General features: G+C 46.6%; 1 long non-coding RNA gene and 1 pseudogene across 2 annotated transcripts, besides 5 other annotated features; both read left to right on the top strand.

The window, feature by feature from the left end:
• RPL18P9 (ribosomal protein L18 pseudogene 9) lies at positions 3201 to 13660 on the top strand (annotated as a pseudogene).
• Positions 4649 to 4778: an enhancer, noted in NCBI's record as "active region_5819". NCBI's record gives its function as "activates an Ori minimal core promoter by ATAC-STARR-seq in GM12878 lymphoblastoid cells {active_cell/tissue: GM12878}" and the evidence as "EXISTENCE:reporter gene assay evidence [ECO:0000049][PMID:35858748]".
• LOC124900317 (uncharacterized) lies at positions 4937 to 19148 on the top strand. 2 transcript variants are annotated; one of them, XR_007063172.1, is made up of 5 exons: positions 4937 to 5268; positions 10753 to 10823; positions 11596 to 11713; positions 12876 to 13234; positions 14491 to 19148. It is a non-coding gene; the product is annotated as an uncharacterized LOC124900317 (long non-coding RNA). The 2 variants fall into 2 exon arrangements; XR_007063173.1 differs by lacking the exon at positions 10753 to 10823.
• Positions 5180 to 6174: an enhancer, noted in NCBI's record as "H3K27ac-H3K4me1 hESC enhancer chr12:4226148-4227142 (GRCh37/hg19 assembly coordinates)". NCBI's record gives its function as "activates a minimal SCP1, AML or CMV promoter by ChIP-STARR-seq in primed H9 embryonic stem cells {active_cell/tissue: H9 hESC(primed)}" and the evidence as "EXISTENCE:reporter gene assay evidence [ECO:0000049][PMID:30033119]".
• Positions 5259 to 5308: a silencer, noted in NCBI's record as "silent region_4145". NCBI's record gives its function as "represses an Ori minimal core promoter by ATAC-STARR-seq in GM12878 lymphoblastoid cells {active_cell/tissue: GM12878}" and the evidence as "EXISTENCE:reporter gene assay evidence [ECO:0000049][PMID:35858748]".
• Positions 15332 to 15391: an enhancer, noted in NCBI's record as "active region_5818". NCBI's record gives its function as "activates an Ori minimal core promoter by ATAC-STARR-seq in GM12878 lymphoblastoid cells {active_cell/tissue: GM12878}" and the evidence as "EXISTENCE:reporter gene assay evidence [ECO:0000049][PMID:35858748]".
• Positions 15479 to 15773: an enhancer, noted in NCBI's record as "tiled region #7545; HepG2 Activating non-DNase unmatched - State 13:Ctcf, and K562 Activating DNase unmatched - State 12:CtcfO". NCBI's record gives its function as "activates a minimal TATA promoter and a strong SV40 promoter by Sharpr-MPRA in HepG2 and K562 cells {active_cell/tissue: HepG2 | K562}" and the evidence as "EXISTENCE:reporter gene assay evidence [ECO:0000049][PMID:27701403]".
• Positions 19149 to 19622: the final 474 nt, after the last annotated feature.

The following is a 19622-nucleotide window of genomic DNA, read 5'->3' as shown; positions in this document are numbered from 1 at the left end:
TATTTTTTGAGGCTGTGTGTGTGTGTGTGTGTGTGCACGCGCATACGATTGCGCAGGGTTCTAGCAAGATGTTGACCGTCCATTATGCTGCTTGAGGGTTTTCTGTTGGTGGAGAGAAGTCCACTTCACCCCCAGCCAAAACACAATATCACAGAATATGGAGGCATTTTCCTGGGTGATCTCTTAAGAATGGAGGGAGAGGGCTGGGCGCGGTGGCTCACGCCTGTAATCCCAGCACTTTAGGAGGCTGAGGCAGGTGAATCACGAGGTCAGGAGATCGAACCATCCTGGCTTACACGGTGAAACCCCGTCTCTACTAAAAAATACAAAAAAATTAGCCGGGCGTGGTGGTGGGTGCCTGTAGTCCCAGCTACTCAGGAGGCTGAGGCAGGAGAATGGCGTGAATCCAGGAGGCAGAGCTTGCAGTGAGCCGAGATCACGATCGCGCCACTGCACTCCAGCCTGGGCGACAGAGTGAGACTCCGTCTCAAAAAAGAAAAAAAAAAAAAGAATGGAGGGAGAGTGGGCACGGTGGCTCACGCCTGTAATCCCAGCACTTTGGGAGGCCGTGGCAAGTGGATCACCTGAGGTCAGGAGTTTGAGACCAGCCTGGCCAACAGGGTGAAACCCCGTCTCTACTGAAAATACAAAAATCAGCTGGGCATGGTGGCGGGAGCCTGTAATCCCAGCTACTCGGGAGGCTGAGGCAGGAGAATTGCTTGAACCCGGGAGACGGAGGTTGCAGGGAGCCGAGATCACGCCATTGCATTCCAGCCTGAGCAACAAGAGCGAAACTCTGTCTCAAAAAACAAAACAAAACAAAAAGAATGGAGGGAGAGTCTATAAGAATTCAGTCACACTAGTTGCTGGACATTTTCATACTTTTTAACCAATTAGTAAACCGGCCAATCACCCAGACACCAGGACAGGAAGACAATCTGGGCTGATAGTTGCCTATGCAGGAGTGTTTGCTATACCAGGCACTATGTTATTAATACATTCTTGACACCCATATTCATTGAACTCTTACAACAACCTTGTAGAGTAGGTAATAGTAGGCTCATTTCGTAGGTAACAGAGCGAGGCTTGGAGGTGTTAAAAAACCTGCTCAAGCTCACCACTACTAGTAACAGTGAGGCTTGGATTCAAACCTCGTTTTGCCAACCCCAGGCTCCTCATCAACTCTCTATCATACCCAGAAACAATGGCATCTGCAGTCTCAGGGGGGCTGCAGCCACAGGACAGCCATTAAGCCCACACTCCTCCCTCTGCTCTTCCAGAGATGACCTCCTGACACACGATAGGAAGCGTGACCTCTCCATGGCATGCAGGAGTAAAGCCAGCCACTCACAGCCACTTGGGGCCCCACCCAGCAAGACCCCAACACTCCTTTATAATCTCCTCTCTGCCCATAAACCACAGCTTCTCCTGCACACGGTCTGTCTTTCTCAGTGTCTCTTGGATTTACTGCTCCTTCAACTGGCATCAAACATTTGCTCCTATGCTTTTGGCTGAAGAGGGTCACCAGCCATCACTCAAGGTTCTGCGGGAGTCCCACCACTACAGCAAGGCTAGACAGCCCCTAGACCTTGTCTTTCTCTGAACAACCACCACGTCACATCCCTCACTCTTGAGGCTTACTGGGTATTCATCTTTCAAAGCCACAGGGCGAACTGGGAGGCAGGGAGGCGAGAAGAGGTCAGAGCTGATGAGGTGATCCCTCTTGCTCTCAGGTCTGGGAATATTTACTCTCTCCGCTGTGTCATTGATCATGCTTCCCAAATGATCACATCTCTAGCAGAAGAACGGAGTTTACAATATTTTGTTCTTTCTCAATGTTTAGCACACATGGTAGATAGTAAGTCTTTTACTTGGTATATGAATGAGTGATTGAAGTGAATGAATGAAGGAAGAAGAGGACAGCTGAATGAAACCAGTAGTTAGGAGATGGTGCTTAAATCCTGGTATGCCTATCTGGGAGACAAAGGATTGAGGAGGCATCAGAAAGACAGTTTGTTGTTGATGCTGAGAGCCTGAACTTTGAAATTTGATAAGATTTGAATCCAAGCTCTGCCACTTGAGTTGTATGAACTTGGCCAAATTACTAACCTCTCTGTGCTTCGACTCCATCTGTAAGAAGAGAATGAATACCGACCCTGTAGGGCCATTATGATGATTAAACAAGATAATTTGTTTAAGTGCCTGGTATGGAGGGAATATTCCATAAAAAATAGTTCATTATGATCAGTGAGGGAAGGAAGAAGAGGATGTTTGGAGGAAGACTTCTTTTATGGAGTTTTGGAAGTATGTGCAGAGCTGTCCCCCAGGTCCCATCCCCCGTCACTGCCCTCTGGCCCTGTGACCATCAGTATCTCCATTGTCTTGACAGAGACATTCTGGAGCCTCACTTTGGTCATGGATCTCTCTAGTTTCTGGAACTGGCAGCAGCAGCTGTCTGCTGGGTGGTGGCATGGTGCAGGCTGTTGCTAGGAGGATGGCTGATATTAAGGTGGGGTGAGGAAGACAGGATGGTGGGTGGGGAGGATGGCAGCTGAACCGTTGGTTTATTTCAAGGTTCCAAGACCTCCAACCATCTCTTCCTACAAGCCCCCCAACACAGGGTGGAGGTGCGGAACCCAGACCAGATGTTTCCTCTCTTTCACTATCGATGGATGGTTTGAGGACACAGGGGAAGGGAGGGGGAAGGAAATGAAGGCAGTGAGAGAGAATCCTTATTTGGGAGCCCATCCTTCTCCACCTGGGGTCTGCAGCCTCCGTGTCCACTCCCTGAAGTTCTAGTAGGCACCCAATGGATGTTAATCACATTGCCAAAGCCAGGGTCAAGGCAAACCAAGGGCATGGATGTGGGATGGCCCATTACCTGGAGGTACCTGCTGCACAGCAGCCTCCTGGTAGCTTGGAAATTACGTCACTAGCCATAGGCACGGCCTGCCAGAGGCACCATGTGGTCCACTGAGGTGGGACCTAACTGGGTAACAGTGAATTTTTTCCCCGTGGGTCAGCCTTGACCTGGATGATCTCCCACCCACCCTTGACCTGGATGATCTCCCAACCCTCCCTTGACTGGGATGATCTCCCACCCACCCTTGACCGGGATGATCTCCCAACCCACCCTTGACCGGGATGATCTCCCAACCCACCCTTGACCGGGATGATCTCCCAACCCACCCTTGACCGGGATGATCTCCCAACCCACCCTTGACCGGGATGATCTCCCACGCACCCTTGACCGGGATGATCTCCCACCCACCCTTGACAGGGATGATCTCCCACCCAGAAATGACTTCACCTCCCTAAGTTCCTTGGTAGGGAACTTGAGGGGTGGTTAGAAACTTCCACTCAACTCACTGCATAATAACTCAGGACAGGAGAGGATAAGAACAGCTCTTTGTGTCACCGGCACCACTAGGAGAAACAGCCTAAAAGGCAGGGAGAGCAGCTTGGAGAATTCCAGCAGCTTCAAACTACACCACCAGGATCTCTGTGGGTCTCAGTTTCCATGTCTGTAAAATGGGGAGAATAATACATGCCAAGTGACCATCCTCCCTCAGCAAGAGAACTTTGTGAGTAATAATTGTCATGACAGCACTTTCCAAATGTGTAGGATCAGCGAGAAAGAGATTTCACAGAGATTTCACAGGGCATCAACAGCTCAGGGGATGTTGGCTACAGGCGGGGAAAGCACCTATATGCCCTTCTACCTGCCGCACCCACGGAGGAGGCTCAGCTGGAAGGACAGGTGCACTCCTTCCAGAATACTCTGAAATCATTGTGGGTGCCCAGTAAGCACTTCTTGGTCAGAGTCTGAGAGTAACAACTGAAAGTACTGAGGGCTCAAAATCACCTGCTCCAGTTAATCATTTTGAGGGCTTTGGTGTCATATCCTTCCCTGAGTTACGTCTTCTTTCTCAGGCACATGTCCGTGAGGCCCCTGTGTATCTGGGTAGGTCAAACTGCATTGGGTGCATACTTTTTCTTGGTCAGCATCTCGGTTTCTATTTCTAAAGTCAAAAGAAGTGCCTCGATTCCTCCCAAGACTTGACAAGCCCAGCAGGGTTGGTGGCTTCTTTGCTGTGTTGCTGAAAATGGAACAGGCTGCCCTGGAGGTGGTGAGCCCCCTGCCCCGGAGATGTTCAGTGAGATCACCTGTGACTACATGCTGTGCTAAGGACCTTGTGTGCCTCACCTTCATCACTGCAACAACCCATGAGGAGCCCATATCATGATCACCTCCATCTCACAGATAACAGGGGAGGGTACCTGCCACACAGCAGCCTTCTACTAACTTGGGAATCACGCCACTAGCCATAGGCACAACCTGCCAGAAGCACCATGTGGTCCACTGAGGTGGGAGCTAACTGGGTAACAGTGAATTTTTTCCCTGTGGGTCAGCCATGACGGCTCCCCCACCCCGCCTTTGACCGGGATGATCTCCCACCCAGAGATGACTTCACCTCCCTAAGCCAGACAGGACTGAATGGGAGAACAGCTGGGGAGGTGCATGCAGCACAACCTGGAAAGTGTGTGTGTGTGAGTGTGAGTGTGTGTGAGAGACTGTGTGTGTGTGAGAGAGAGAGAAACAGAGAGAGAGAGGGTGAAAGAGAGAGAATTGCTTTTGTATGAATCTGTCTCTTTCTTTTTCTTTCTTTTTTTCAGCAAACCACAGACCGGCTACACATTCTTGGGCAGTTTCCTGAAGATGAACTTAAGATTTTGAGAGAGAGAGAAAAAAAAGAAAAGAGTAGGGGTGGAGGAAGAAGCGAGGCAGAAAGTAATCAAGCTCACGTGCATGTGCATGCGCGTGCTCACACACACACACACACACACTCTTCACACACAACTCCTGGCAATAAGGAAGTGAGACTAGATCTTTTTCATGAATGGGCTTAACTCAGCCTTGCTGAACTTCCGCTCTCCCATTCACCAGCATTCAAATTTCACCTTCTGACCATCCAAGGCAGCTGGCTGCTGGCCCAGGAACTAAGAGCACTTTGAGATCATCCCTCTGACCACAGGCAACTGTGTGCTTGCAAGGAATCTTCTTTCCTGAGCCGGTAAATTCAAAATGACCAGGGTGTTCACAGGGTACCAGGTTTGAGGGCCACTGACCCTTGAACCCCCAACCCTACCTACTGCCCTATTCACCCAGGACCACAGCTTACACTCTGGAAAAGCCAAGAAATGACAGCAGGCAATGCACACGGAGGAAACATTTCTGCACAGCAACTGCACAGGAGGACAGCCCAGGTGAACTCTCTGGGGAACGTTCACGCCTGCCTTAAATTAGGCTGGGGGAAATGACAGTCACCATTTTGGAAAGGACACTTTATGCCTTTTCCCATGGGAGCTAGGGAGCAATGAACTGGGGCGTGTGACCTATAAGTGTGCCATTCTTTCGTATTGGGTGGGAGCTAGGCGAGGCACAGGCAGCGGTGGAAGTTTCTGTTCCCTTGAAAATCAGCCTCGAGATGCCTGGCAGGGTGTGTCCAGGCAGTGGAAGGACCGGTGAAGGGTCTTGAGCAAAAGTCACTTCATGTTGCTGTGCCCCAGCTTCCTCATTTGTCAAGAGGTGGCAATAAGACCTCCCTGGGACAACCACTGGGGTGACCCAGTGAGCTAAGGCCAAAGACCTGACTCCCCAGTGTGAATGACCCGGGCTCATCGGCAACCCAGTTAGGGAAACCCCTACCACCTAGAGCTGACAAAGCAGGTGCCACTGTTCCGAAAGGATAAGGATAGCTTTATCTCTGAACTTCCAGAAATGGTGACTGTGACAGACTAGTGGCCCAGAAGCGAGGAAAGCGATGGGAGGCAGACAGGGCTGGCCTGCCCCAAGACCAAAGGAGGAGCAGGAGAGAAGTCGGGGTAGAGACACCACGGAGGCTCAGCTTTTCTTTTCCTGATTTCTTTCCCCTCTCCTGCAAGTCCTTCTAATGGAAGCTCAAGGAGGCAACGGAGAAAGGGACATCCTTTTCCTGACTCCACCTTGTATCCTTAGAATCCTCATGCAGGCTCCCTGGTCCCCACACTTGGGCTACAGGGGGTTTCCAAGCCCTGTGTCTTACAATGTTTGGGCCCAGAGGCAGGAGCATAGACGAGATGACCTTCAGAGCACCTTCCCCGCTTGGGGCAAGGAGTCTTTCTCCAAGGCTGAATCTAGGGCAGCATGCTAGAGAACTGCATTCCACTCCTTGCAGCTGCTGAGCTACTGGGTCCAGCTCTGGGCACTGGGAATGGACTCGGAAATACCAGTGGGCTTTGTTTGGGCCGATTACTCACAGTACAGGAATGATATCCATTCCACTGGACTTTCTAGGAACTTGCCTGCAGCTGGAGCGGTCCCTGTCCCTAGGTTTCCTCTAGCACAGAGAGGCTGCTAGCAGAGGCCTGGCTGGGGAGGGAATGTGCAGCTTACAGGGGATGCCAGTGGGCCCCAGGAAGCACTGATGCAATGCTCTTTTTATTAAGTTGGGCTCTGAGCCCTTCTCCCCTGTGATAACTTCCGGGAGTAGCTGTCCCCATTTCCCTGGTCTCCTCTCCCTCTCCTGCTTCAAGAGCCAAATTCCTGCAGGACAGCAGCACCTGAGGAATCCGAATTCACACAATAGTAATGCAGGTGGACAGAGGAAATGCCTGTTGGTCTAAGGAGCTTGGGTAATAAAGGTTGCCGTCTGCCGAAGCCTCACATGCCAGGTGCGTGCCCAGCCCTGCAGGCTCTGCCTCCCTCAATCCTTCCAGCACCCTGGTTGTGCAGGTGCTGTCCTTGTGACCTTTTTACACATGAGGAAGTGGAGCCTTAGGTCAGGAAATGCTTTTAAGATCACGTAGTTAGCAAATGGCAGAGCTGGGAATTAAGTCCATTTCTGCTCAATTACAAAACACGCGAGTTTAGTCACTGGACTCCGATTTTTGTGTGTACTGTAGTAGCTCGGCTTTTATGAGAACCGGAGATTAAGCTCCCTGAGGGTAAAGGCTATGTCTTATTTTTTATTTTCTTTTATTTTCTACCCTATTTATCTCTATAAGATGCCAGGAACTCGTTTTAAAATGCACCTGCCAAAACATGCTGAGATGGTGGGCGGCGGCTGCCCATGGATGATATGGAGGCCACTGCAGCTGAAGGGACAAAAATCAACCCTGGAACTGTCCATGCTGCAGACAGACCTTTCAGTTTGCTCTCACCCTGCTTCTCCCGTGGCTGTGGTATTTTTCTCCCGTCTGCCTCCTGGTTTCTGCCCACTGGAGGCTTTTCCAGCCTCGTGACCTCTATTACTGCCCCCTCTCTGCAAATGCCTGCACCTACTCATCGCCCTGTCTTCAAGCCGCTACCGCATGACTGAGGTTCCTTTACTCTTCTTCCCTGTGCCACGTCCCTGTTCCCTAACGGCTCCTCTGGCTCGCTCTCTGTGTCTCTAAGCGCCTGGGCCACCTCACTCTCCATTCCTGCTGAGGGTGTCTGAGAGAGTCCCTGATGGGTTAGTGACAACCCAAATCTGGAGATACCTGTTGGTCCCAGTCTCACCAGCTTAGCTTTTAGGCTGCCCACATTCTGTAAGGCAGTGGTCTGCAACCTTTTTGGCACCAGAGATGGGTTTCGTGGGCGACAATTTTTCCATGAATGGGGCAGGGGAGGAAAGGGTGGTTTCAGGATGACTGAAGCACATGACATTTATTGTGCACTTTATTTCTATTATTACTACATTATAATATATTATGAAATCATTATACAACTCACCATAATGTAGAATCAGTGGAAGCCCTGAGCTTGTTTTCCTGCAACTAGACAGTCCCATGTGAGGGTGATGGGAGACAGTGAGAGATCATCAGGCATTAGGGTTTCACAAGGAGCACGCAGCCTAGATCCCTCGCAAGCGCAGTTCACAGTAGGGTTTGTGCTCCTATGAGAATCTTATGCAGTCGCCAATCTGACAGGGGGTGGAGCTCAGGTGGTGATGTGAGCAATGGGGAGTGGCTATAAATACAGATGAAGCTTCACTCACTTGCCCACCATTCATTTCCTGCGTGTGGCCAGGATCCCCCCGATAGCAGCGGCTCACCTCAGGTCCTCCAATTTAAAGAGCAGGCACTTGAAGCTCAGAAACATTAAGCAACTTGCCTGAGGTCACACATTTAGAAGGTGATAGAATCCAGATCAGAACACACATCAGTCTGGGAAGATGAAAAAAAATCTGGAGATGAACGGTGGTGATGGTTGCACAACGATGTGAATGTACTTAATGCCACTGAATCCTTTAAAATGGTGAAAACGGTAAATTTTGTCATGTATGTTTTACCATAATAAAAAGTGGCTAAAATGGCAAAAAGAAACAATGAACAAAATAACCTCATGGGATTTTAAATTGGGTTAAATGAGGTATTGTACCTAAACCCTTATCTTCATGCCTGGCACATAGGAGCTAATACGATGATTAATTATGTTAATATTACTTTTTTAGTTTCCTCATCTATAAAGTGGGGATAATAAAGATACCTCTCAGGGCTTTTTTTTTTTTTTTTTTTTTTTTTTGAGACGGAGTCTCGCTCTGTCATCAGGCTGGAGTTCAGCGGCACAATCTCGGCTCACTGCAACCTCCACCTCCCGGGTTCAAGCGATTCTCCTGCCTCCGCTTCCCAAGTAGCTGGGACTATAGGCGCGTGCCACCTCGCCCAGCTAATTTGTTGTATTTTTAGTAGAGACGGGGTTTCACCATGTTGGCCAGGATGGTCTTGATCTCTTGACTTCATGATCCGCCCGCCTCGGCCTCCCAAAGTGCTGGGATTACAGACGTGAGCCACCACGCCCGGCCTGGGCTTTTTTTCCCTTATTTCTTTTTTTTTTTTTTTTTTATGAGACGGAGTCTCGCTCTGTCACCCAGGCTGGAGTGCAGTGGCGCGATCTCGGCTCACTGCAAGCTCCGCCTCCCAGGTTCACGCCATTCTCCTGCCTCAGTCTCCCGAGTAGCTGGTTTTTCCCTTATTTCTTAGAAATTTATTGTGGCAGATTTATGCATATATAAGTTGCATTCATTGTTTAAAATGGAGACATCACCTACTTGAAGAGCATAAGTACCAAGTATACAGCTGGATGGATTTTACATATGTATTTATCAGTGTACTCACCACCCAGGCCAAGGTAGAGACATTTTCCATGCCCTGAAAACTTCCTTGTGTCCCTCCAGGTTAGGACCAGCTTCCTTCCCACTCTTAGGGGTTTTGATTGGATTAAACACAACCTCTAGCACCTTGTCTGACACAGACTTGCTTGATCAATGTTATTAATAATCAATACTATTATTAATAACACACTAATTACTGCTGTTTGACAAAGGGTAAAAACAATAGAACTGCTAATGATGACAATACTCCAAACCACAAAACTCACACAAGACCACCGGCCATAGAGCTAAGAGGTTGGCCCTTTGGCTGCCATCCACCAGCCATGCAGCTTGGGCCAAGAGGATGCCCCTCTGAGCTTCAGGGTCCTCATCCCTCAAGTGAGGCCTCAGTCTAAGTATCTAGAGTCTAAGGATCTCTGTGGCGCCTTCTAGTTCTAACATTCGACAAGTCTAGGAATTCGGCTTTGTAACCTGGCAAGGGGCTGAAAAAAGTGTGGAAACTGAGGGTTACAGCAAAGTCAAGCCCATAGACCTCTTGCACCCCAGCAGCTGGAGTGGTGTTCATGGTGCCTGGCTGCAGGGACAATACAGAAAGGCTCTTGCTACAACTTTTGAAGACTTCTAGGTCAAACCATACTAATGGGTTGACCTGTAGAGATGAAAAACCTTTCTCCACATTAGGGTTGACATGCACAGGTCATACCAGTGGCCAAGTCCACCCACTCTATTCTCAGCTGCTGGATTCTCTGGGTGGCAGAGTTTCCATCTGCTCACACAGCTGTGCTGAGAGCTGAATGGTCTGGGGTGGTCTCTGTTCACCGGCCAGCTGTTTAAGCAGCAGGCAGGGGGAGCTTCCCCTGGCTTCCTCAGGACTGCAGCTGTTCAGAGCATCATGGGAACAAAGGCTGACTTCTATGACAAGAATGTGTCAAAACCAATTTTTCTTAATGCAGGAAATTATTTCAAGTTGACTTATAAACTAGTCCAAACATGTTCTCTGCAACATAAAACACAGTAATAAAGTGCCTAAAAGAGTGTCTCACATAGAACAGGTACTCAGTAAATGTCAGTTCCTGGATGCCTCAGCCTATATTAATCTCTGTCATTCATTCATTCATTCATTCATTCATTCACTCACTCAGCAAACACTTTTCAGTGCTGTGCGTTCCAGATATTGAAGACACCATAATGAACAACACAGACAAAATCCCTGCCCTTGAATTTTATAGTCTGGTGGGTAGAGACTGACAATTGACAATTACAATTAAAAAAAAAAAGACAACAGGCATTCAGTTGATCAAATATTTACTGAGCACCTAGTAGTGCCAGACACAGTTTTAGGTATTAGGGATACAGCGTTAAACAAGACACACGTAGTTTCTCAACTTAAAAAGCTTTACTTCTAGTGGAGAACCAGACAGTAACCATATGAACAAATGAGTAAAAGAGTTTCGTGATGGTGTTTGAGGGAAATGAATGTAGCAGGGGTGAAGCACAGTGGGAGAATGTGCTGCTTTGACAGAGGGAGCCAGGCTTCAGTCATTTCTAGAGAATACTAAGCACAAAGAAAACTTCCATTGACCGCATGGTTATGTCACTGGTTTTCCTGTTGCAGGTTGTTAAACGCGTCTCCTGTGTAAATGTTTCTGGAGCCCTGGTTTGCCTGCTTTCTTGGATGGCACGAGGGTAAGCTCCTTGAGGTCAGGAACTGTATCTCAGTTTGAGTGCTCCAGAAACCCAAATATACCAGCCAACTACTATAGGTTGAGTATCACTCGTCCAAAATGCTTGGGAACAGCAGTGCTCTGGATTTTTTATATTTTCAGACTTTGGAATATTTTGCACATAATGAATATCTTGGGGATGGGATCCAAGTCTAAACACAAAACTAATTTATTTTTCGTATACGCCTTATATACATAGCCTGAAGGTAATTTTAGAAAATATTTTAAGTAATTTTGTGCATGAAACAGGGTTTGTGTTAAGTACTTAATGTATAAAAATTCTCACTTGTGGCATCATGTCCACACTCAAAAATTTGGATCTGAAGCATTTCAGATTTTGGATTTTTGGATTAGGGATGCTGAACTTGTATATTTGAGGGATTTCTTGACTGAATTTAGCAGAGGGTGGGTAAGGGTGCTCTCTGACTTGATTGAAGATGTGTCTGCAGTGTCTCCCTCACAAAGATCTTAAGAATTGGGGGCTTATGGAACAGGGACAGGTAGGGATTGCTGGTGGAAAAAACACTTTGAGGAGGAGCCCTGCAGAATGAGACTCTAAAGAAGTTCTAGAACACAGAGGATTTAATTCCAATGAAAAGCATGGAATGATATGACGGACGGTTGGAAGCAAAAGTTGGCTCTTTCCCACCTCTGCCATCTGATGACAGTCCTGGCAACACCACGGCCTCACTTCTCTATCAAGATTTTAACTATCCAAACACTCTTCCTTCCAGCTTGAGTTTGCAAAATAAAAGTGATGCCGGCTATTAACTCTGTTCGAGAGTGAGGAAACTGAGAGAAAAAGGAAGTTGGGGCAGAAACCAGGAATGGACAGAGCTCTCCTAACTCAGGGTTGGTAGCATCATTTGCCAGATCTACAAGAACTGCATTCATCCTTAACTCTTTTGTGCATTAGAATAAATATCTGGCTTAGAATTTTTATTCAAAAAATGTCTGAACCTTCCTTCTCTTTGACTCCCTAGCCACTGCCTAGCCTTCTTTTTCTTCACTTCCAGCTTCCTACATCTTCTTCTTGGGTGGCAGGGAAGGAACCATAAGCACGGGCAGGGTGGGAGGCGAACACTCGGGGTTGCAGCTGTCACTGATTATGGAAGGGTGTGTAAGATCCCCAAGCACACGCGCTTTGCCTCAGTTGCTGAATGCAGATTTGAAAACCACAGCAAGAGTGAAGACCAGAAAGGACAGTTGCTGGGTGGGTCAGGCTGGTGGAGATCTACCCCAGCTCCCAAGTCTAGCTTCTACTTTCTCCACCTGGGTTTTCTTCCCTTCAAGAAGATGTGCAGGGCCAGTGTGGATGGGCAGTGCCACACGAACCATTCAAAAGACGGCAATTTCCTATTCTGTACCAACCTCCACAGGGATCTCCTTGCCATGACTCCCCTGGGTTCCACCCTCTTCCCTTGCAGGCACCATACAGCAATCACAGCAGTCGTTGAAGACATAGATCTCGTGTCTCTACCCTGCTTAAAATACTTCAAAGTCCCACCCTCACTCTAAGGATAGTCTCAACATGGCTTCTAACCCCTGCTTAATTCTCTAGCAGCAGCCCAGGTCAGCTCCTCTTGCCTGACTCCTCCCACACTTCCTTCTGATCCTCAAAGAGCCAAAGTCTCCCGCCATAGGCTTTTTTTTTTTTTTGAGTCAAGATTTCACTCTGCTGCCCAGGCTGGAGTGCAGTGACACGATCACAGCTCACTGCAGCCTTGAACTCCTGGGCTCAAGCGATGCTCCCATCTCAGCATCCCAAGAAGCTGGGGCTACAGGCGTATGCCACCATGCCTGGCTAATTTTTTTTAGAAAAAATTTTTGTAGAGACGGGGGCCCCACTATTTTGCTCAGGCTGGTTTCAAACTCCTGGCCTCAAGCAATGCTCCCCTCCCACCTTGGCCTCCCAAAGTGCTAGGATTATAGGCATGAGCCATGCTCCCAGCATCCATGGGGCTTTTATAAAGGCTGTTTCCTAGACTTATTTGCTTAGGTATCTCTTCTTCAGCTTTCAGGTCTCAGCTTAAATGTCATTTCCCTTCTGGACCTGGCAGGGCAGAAGGTGCCATCGAGGGAGTTGATGTTTGCCATGACAAGGACCAAAAGGTTCGGCATCAGGAGCCCAAGAGCCAGGACATCCACCAAAGGCTGTTGGTCAAGCTGTTCAGGTTTCCGGCCAGATGAACCAACTCCACCTTCAACCAGGTTGTGCTGAAGACATTGTTAATGAGTCACAGAAACTGGCCACCTCTGTCTCTCTCCCATATGATGGGGAAGATGAAGCTTTCTGGCTGGAAGAACAAAACAGCTGTGGTTGTGGGGATCATAATGGATGTTGTGCCCGTGCTGGAGGTGCCCAAACTCAAGGTGTGTGCATTGCATGTGAGCAGCAGATCTACAGCCGCATCCTCAAGCCTGGGCAAAACCCTCACCTTTGCCCAGCTGGCCCTGGCCTTCCCAAGGCCTGTGGCTTCAGCCTGCTCTCCCATACTTACAAGGGCCAAGGTGTACAGGCATTTCGGCCAGGCCTGGGGAACCCCACACAGCCACACCAAACCCTATGTCCACCCCAAGGGCCAGCCCCAGCTAAAAAAAAACTAACCCTGGGTCATCCTCTCTTATTTAAATATTTTAGGACCAGAGGCAATGGTTCATTCCAGTAATCTCAGCACTTTGGTATGCTGGGGTGAGAGTATCACTTGAGGTCAGAAGTTTGAGATCAGCCTGGGCAACATAGCAAGACCTCGTCTCTATGTCTCTACTAAAAATTAAAAAAAAAAAAATTGGATGCTGAAAAAAAAAGAAAAATGTCACTTCCCTTCTAGTTTGAAGAAAGTTTCCTGGGTTCTTCAGATTAGGTTATATGCCCCACTATATTTTTTTCATAGCATTTTTTTCACTTCTGTAAAGTAGCCCCTATTATATTAATAGTGATGTGAATTTTTTAAAAAAATTGTTTTTAAAAATTTTTAGTTGCTGTTCCCATTCTCCTCCTCTTCCTCCTTTCTCTCTTCCCCCTTTCTTTCCTCTCTCCTCCTCTGTGCCCTTCTCTTCCTCCTCCTTCTTTCGATAACATCATCTTCTTAGTTCCTAGGACACAGCCTGGCACTCTGTGCATATTTGCTGAATGAGTGTGTGGATCTGTATGCCCTAGGAGTTGGGAGGACCTTTAAGATGATTGAATCCCATGAGTCTCCTTTGCAGCACCCCAGCCAGATGTCCCTAGCCTCTGCTCCAATGCCTCTGTACTGTGAACTTGTAGACTCCCAGGGCAGCCCGTTCTGTCTAAGGAGGCAGCCTCGCGGCATGGTTAAATGCTCAGGGTCATACTGAATATGTTATTTAATTCTTCTCAGCCTGTTTCCTCATCTGTAAAAAGGTGGTCATAGTAATACCCACTCCACAGCAATGTTGCAATTGTCAAATGAAATCAGGCATGTGGAACACAGCGCCTAGCCACAAGGGATGGTTAAATAAATGTGATTTATTGTCATGATGATTATTATTTTACCGTAACCATCATCAGCCTGTCTTCAGATGGTGATGACAGAAGGTGAAGTTGTTCTTACATTGCATAGTGATCAATTTCTCTCTAACTTCTGATTCTCTCTTTGGGTTTGCAGGTTCCACATGACAACCATTGGTGTCAGAGGCCAGTGCCTTGATGAATATGTGTCTTCTCTTCTCTAGTTTACCATGGGACAGATAGCTACTGCACCAGTTTCAGGTCTTCTCACCATCTTGGCCTCTTTCTGAATAACTCCTCTTTTGCGATGTCCCCTTACTGCTCAGGCCATCCTAGGGATGAAGAAAGTACTGGGCCAAAGAGATCCATGGGCATCCGTGTAGGGAGTGCCAAGAAATTAGGATTATCCTGCCTCGGCGCCCAGCCAAGGTTAACAAGCTTTATGGTCTGTTCGGCAAACCTGAGGGGACCCGGTCCTCCATTGTGGGATGGGAGTTGAAGGAAACAGTGTTCAGGTCTGGCCCAAGCCAAAACCCATCTATTGCAACCTACCATTTCTTTTCTGCCTACTTCTTCTATTTACTTTTTCTGTTGTTGTTGAGACCAGGTCTTGCTCTGTTGTCCAGGCTGGAGTGCAGTGGCACAATTATAGCTCACTGCAGCCTCAATCTCCTGGGTTCAAGTGATCCTCCTGCCTCAGCCTCCCGAGTAGCTTGGGACCACAGGCACATGCCACCACACCCAGCTAATTTATTTTCTTTTTGTAGAGACAGGGTCTTGCTATGTTACCCGGGCTGGTCTGGAGCTCCTGGGCTCAAGCGATCCTCCTGCCTTGGCCTCCCAAAGTGTTGGGATTACAGGTGTGAGCCACTGTGTCTGGGCACCTTCTTTTTTTTTTTTTTTTTCTTTTAAAGAAGGCTATTAAGTGTCCAGTGCCTGGAAAGTTCCTTTCTTTCCTGAATTAATATACCAAATTAGTTCCTGCTAAAGTGTTAATGACTAACCCCAGTTTCACTTCTTGTCAGCAATCTGCCCTCCTCCATAAAGGGTTGAATAAATAGGACTTTTAGACATAAGTGACCGAGTCTGTGAGGGAGTAAATTTTGAGCAGGGGGAGCTCTCACGCAGGGCTCTCCAATTTACACTGCGGAGGTAGCTTCCTTTTCCACCTCTGCAATAAGCCAACCAACCCTACAAATATCTGGTAGAAAGAAGGGCTGTTCCAGTGAAGAGTCAATTAGTATGAAGACCGCCATCTACTGGCAGATGATATCTACTGGCCCCATTGGTGCGCTAGATAAGTTTTGTCATTGCAGGGGGTTTCCCGATTGGGTTGCTTGAATGCTGAGAACCAGTCCTCTCCCCCATTCCTTTTGCCTAATTTCCCTTTTACATTATTGCTTTGTTACTTTGATTCCTCAACATATACAGTATTTCACAGAGCCTTTATGCTACAGGGGATCTTTGGAGGGTATAACTGTTGTGTGTCATTAACACTTTAGTATAAATTAACTCAATTGACTACCACTAGTCCAGAAGTTGAGAAATTCCAGTTTGTCCCCTTTTTTCTCCCTTTCTTCCTCTCTTTCTCCTATCACTGAATATAGAAGTCAGGCTCAAAAACACATCTTAGCTCTGGAGAGGAAAGGACTTCAGGACATTTTCATTTACCAGAAGACAGCTGTGGAAGTTTTAAAACGGTATCAGCACACTGGCCTTCCTTACTCCATCAAATCTCATGTGTGCCCTTCTCGGAGTCTCTAAAACAAATGCAACTCCAGGAAGTCTCCCTAGTCTCTGAGATCCCGTATTTCCAGTTCCTTCACCCCTCTAGCTGTCTGCCCCATCTTTTTTAACAAGAAGCGTAAATATCTCCACTGTATTCTTATGCACATTTCATGTGTGGTGCGTCTGTTTCATGTGTGGTCTGTCTGGCCTCTTGTCATGGGCTGTTTACTTCCTGGAGGCACTTTGGTTTTTCTTTCTCAGTATTTCACCATTGCACTAAGTCTAAGTTGTGGCACTGATCACGGTATGTGCTGCCTGCACATTGTGAGATGTTCCGTGGTCAGGGTTCGAGCAGTGGGGAAATGGTGGCTCGGAAGGTCTTGGTGAAGCTCATAACATGTTCTATGTCTCTACACACCTATTTATAGGTGTGGTTTGCAAGGAGGGGGTATTAGAACCACCGTTTACAACCTGGAGTGTGAGTGTCCCTGAAGAGACAGGAAGACTTCCCAGGGGGTATTTGGGCATGAATTGTTTCAAGGCACTCCATTTCCAGATGCTGAATGCCGTATCTGCCCTTCCCTGAACTGATCTAGCAGACAGTGCACCTGCAGCTGGGGGGTCGGGCTGGTTCTCTGGTCCTGCCTGCCCTTTCTCAATAGCGCTTTTCCCACTTTACAAAAGGAAAAAATTCTGTTAACTCTCTCTCATCCCAAATCTTACTTACTATGGTGCATTAGGCCAAGTGTACAAACTTCCATGGCATCCAAAAAAGGACAACTGAAAATATTAATGAAGGCAACATAAATCTCTAAGGTTTTGTGTCTCTCTCTGTCTTATACATACGTCTGTGACGGGCAAAGCATGGAATTAGACACAGGGCAAGATAGGTTGTGTGGTAAGGCAAAAATATGATACCAATATTTGTCTAATGAGTCCCCTCATCCTTCCCCCAAGGATTATCAAAGAACATATTGCCATCATGCAAATCTCATGAAAATAAAATAAGGTTAGTGAAGGTAGGAAGTATTGAGGGTGGTGGCACATTATTTCATCCCGGTGATAAATTCATGGTACAGCTTCATGCTCTATCAATATCTATCTATCTATCTGTCTGTCTGTCTATCTATCTATCATCTATCTATCTATCTAATCTAGTATGTCTACTATCTTAGAATTAGAATGCAGAATGTTTGTCTTGGGGACATATATTAACTCATTGATTTGGCTTGAAAAATGAAAACTGGACGAGCACGGTGACTTATGCCTGTAATCCCAGCATTTTGGGGGGCCGAGGCGGGCAGATCATGAGGTCAAGAGATGAAGACCATCCTGGCCAACATGGTGAAACCCTGTCTCTACTAAAAATACAAAAATTAGCTGGATGTGATTGCTTATGCCTGTAGTCCCAGCTACTCAGGAGGTTGAGGCAGAAGACTCACTTGAACCTGGGAGGCAGAGGTTGCAGTGAGCCGAGATAGTGCCATTGCACTCCAGCCTGGCAACAGAGAGAGACTCCGTCTCAAAAAAAAAGAAAAGAAAAAAAAAATGAAAACTAAGTGTTTTGGTGGGGGACAAAGAATAAGTCTACTCTGGGTGATTAATTTTATGACCCACTTCAACAATTACCTTAAAGTGCCATAAACTGAATGTGCTAAATTTTCAGCTCTTAAAATTTCCACAATAAAAATAAAGTATATGATAATATAAAATCAATGTACAAAAAAGTTTTGGTAAACTTATATTGAAATGAAAGATATTTCAATTTCTCCAACCCTTTTTAAGTATATCAAATTAGAAGGTGTCTTTATGAGAAAGAATAACAAGCATAATTAACAATCATTTAATAAGTCTTGATAAAGTATTTTAGGTGATTTCCCAGAAAAAGAGGACTTAATGACCACAAAGACTAGGTAATAAATATTTGCAAGTCAGATGTTTTCCAATTCTTTGCTTTCAACAATATCAGAAGAGGACCTAATGGAGTTGTCAGCTGATAGATTATTAAAAATAATTCTTGATGATAGAGCAGTATGTTATTTTTGGCTTAGAACTTGGAAAGAGTTCAGAGAGCCAAATCATATTGCTATAATAAAACTCCATCCAAACTTATTTACGTGAACAAGGTTTCCCAGCATTACTTCTATAAAAATGAAAAGTATGAATAGAATGGATGCTATTCCTTGTCTAACTCTAATAACAAGTAATGTCATGCATGAGTGCATGAATTAATTAAAGATAAAAGCCTTATTCGGCTGGGCGCGGTGGCCCGTGCCTGTAATGCCAGCACTTTGGGAGGCCGAGGCAGGCGGATCACAAGGTCAGGAGCTCGAGGCCATCCTGGCTAACACGGTGAAAACCTGTCTCTACTAAAAATACAAAAAATTAGCCGGGTGTGGTGGCGGGCGCCTGTAGTCCCAGCCACTCGGGAGGCTGAGGCAGGAGAATGGCGTGAACCTGGGAGGTGGAGATTGCAGTGAGTCGAGATCACGCCACTCCCCTCCAGCCTGGGCGACAGAACGAGACTCCGTCTCAATAAATAAATAAATAAATAAGTAAGCCTTATTCATTTCATTAAAAGATATGAGGCGGGCGGATCACCTGAGATCGAGAGTTCAAGACCAGCCTGACCAACATGGAGAAACCCTGTCTCTACTAAAAATACAAAATTAGCCAGGCTTGGTGGTGCACGCCTGTAATCCCAGCTACTCCAGAGGCTGAGGCAGGAGAATCGCTTGAACCCGGGAGGGGGGTGTTGCGGTGAGCAGAGATCGCACCATTGCACTCCAGCCTGGGCAACAAAGAGTGAAACTCCGTCTCAAATAAAATAAAAGAGATACATTACTATTTTTTTTTTTTTTTTTGAGACAGGGTCTTGCACTGTTGGGCAAACCAGGATATTGATATTGATACAGTCAAGATACAAAACATTTCTATCACCACCAGAATTCCTGAAGTTGGCTTCTTATAATCACAACTACTTTCCTCTCAGTCTCTCAAACTTAATCTCTGGCAACCATTCATTTCATCTCCATTTCTATGATTTTGTCATTTCAAGAATGTTAAATAAATGGACTCATACATATATAACTTTCTGACATTGGCTTTTTCTTCTCGGCATAAGTCTCTGGAGAGCCATCCATGTTGTGGAGTATATGAATAGCTCCTTCCTTTTTCGTGCTGAGTAGTACTCCCTGCTGTGAATATATCACAGTTTGTTTAACCATTCATCCATTAAAACACACCTAGGTTGTTTCCAGCATGGGATTATTGCACATAAAGCTTCTGTAAACATTCATGTGCAAGTTTTTTGTGAGCATAGGTTTTCATTTCTCTGGGATAAATATCCAGAAATGCAATTGTTGAGTGGTGTGGTCATTGTGTGTTTAAAATTTTAAAGAAATTGCCAAAAAAAAAGAAATTGCCAAACTCTTCCAGAGTGGTGGTACCATTTTACATTCCCTCCACATTGTATTAGTGATCTAGCCTCTCTACATCCTCACCAGCATTTGGTCTGTCACTATTTTTTCCCACATTATTTTAAATCAAACTTTAATTTTA

Source organism: Homo sapiens, chromosome 12 (genome assembly GCF_000001405.40).
Source record: "Homo sapiens chromosome 12, GRCh38.p14 Primary Assembly".
Lineage (NCBI taxonomy): Eukaryota > Metazoa > Chordata > Mammalia > Primates > Hominidae > Homo > Homo sapiens.
The sequence above is the reverse complement of the archived record's forward strand: the minus strand, read 5'-3'. Positions and strand labels throughout refer to the sequence as shown.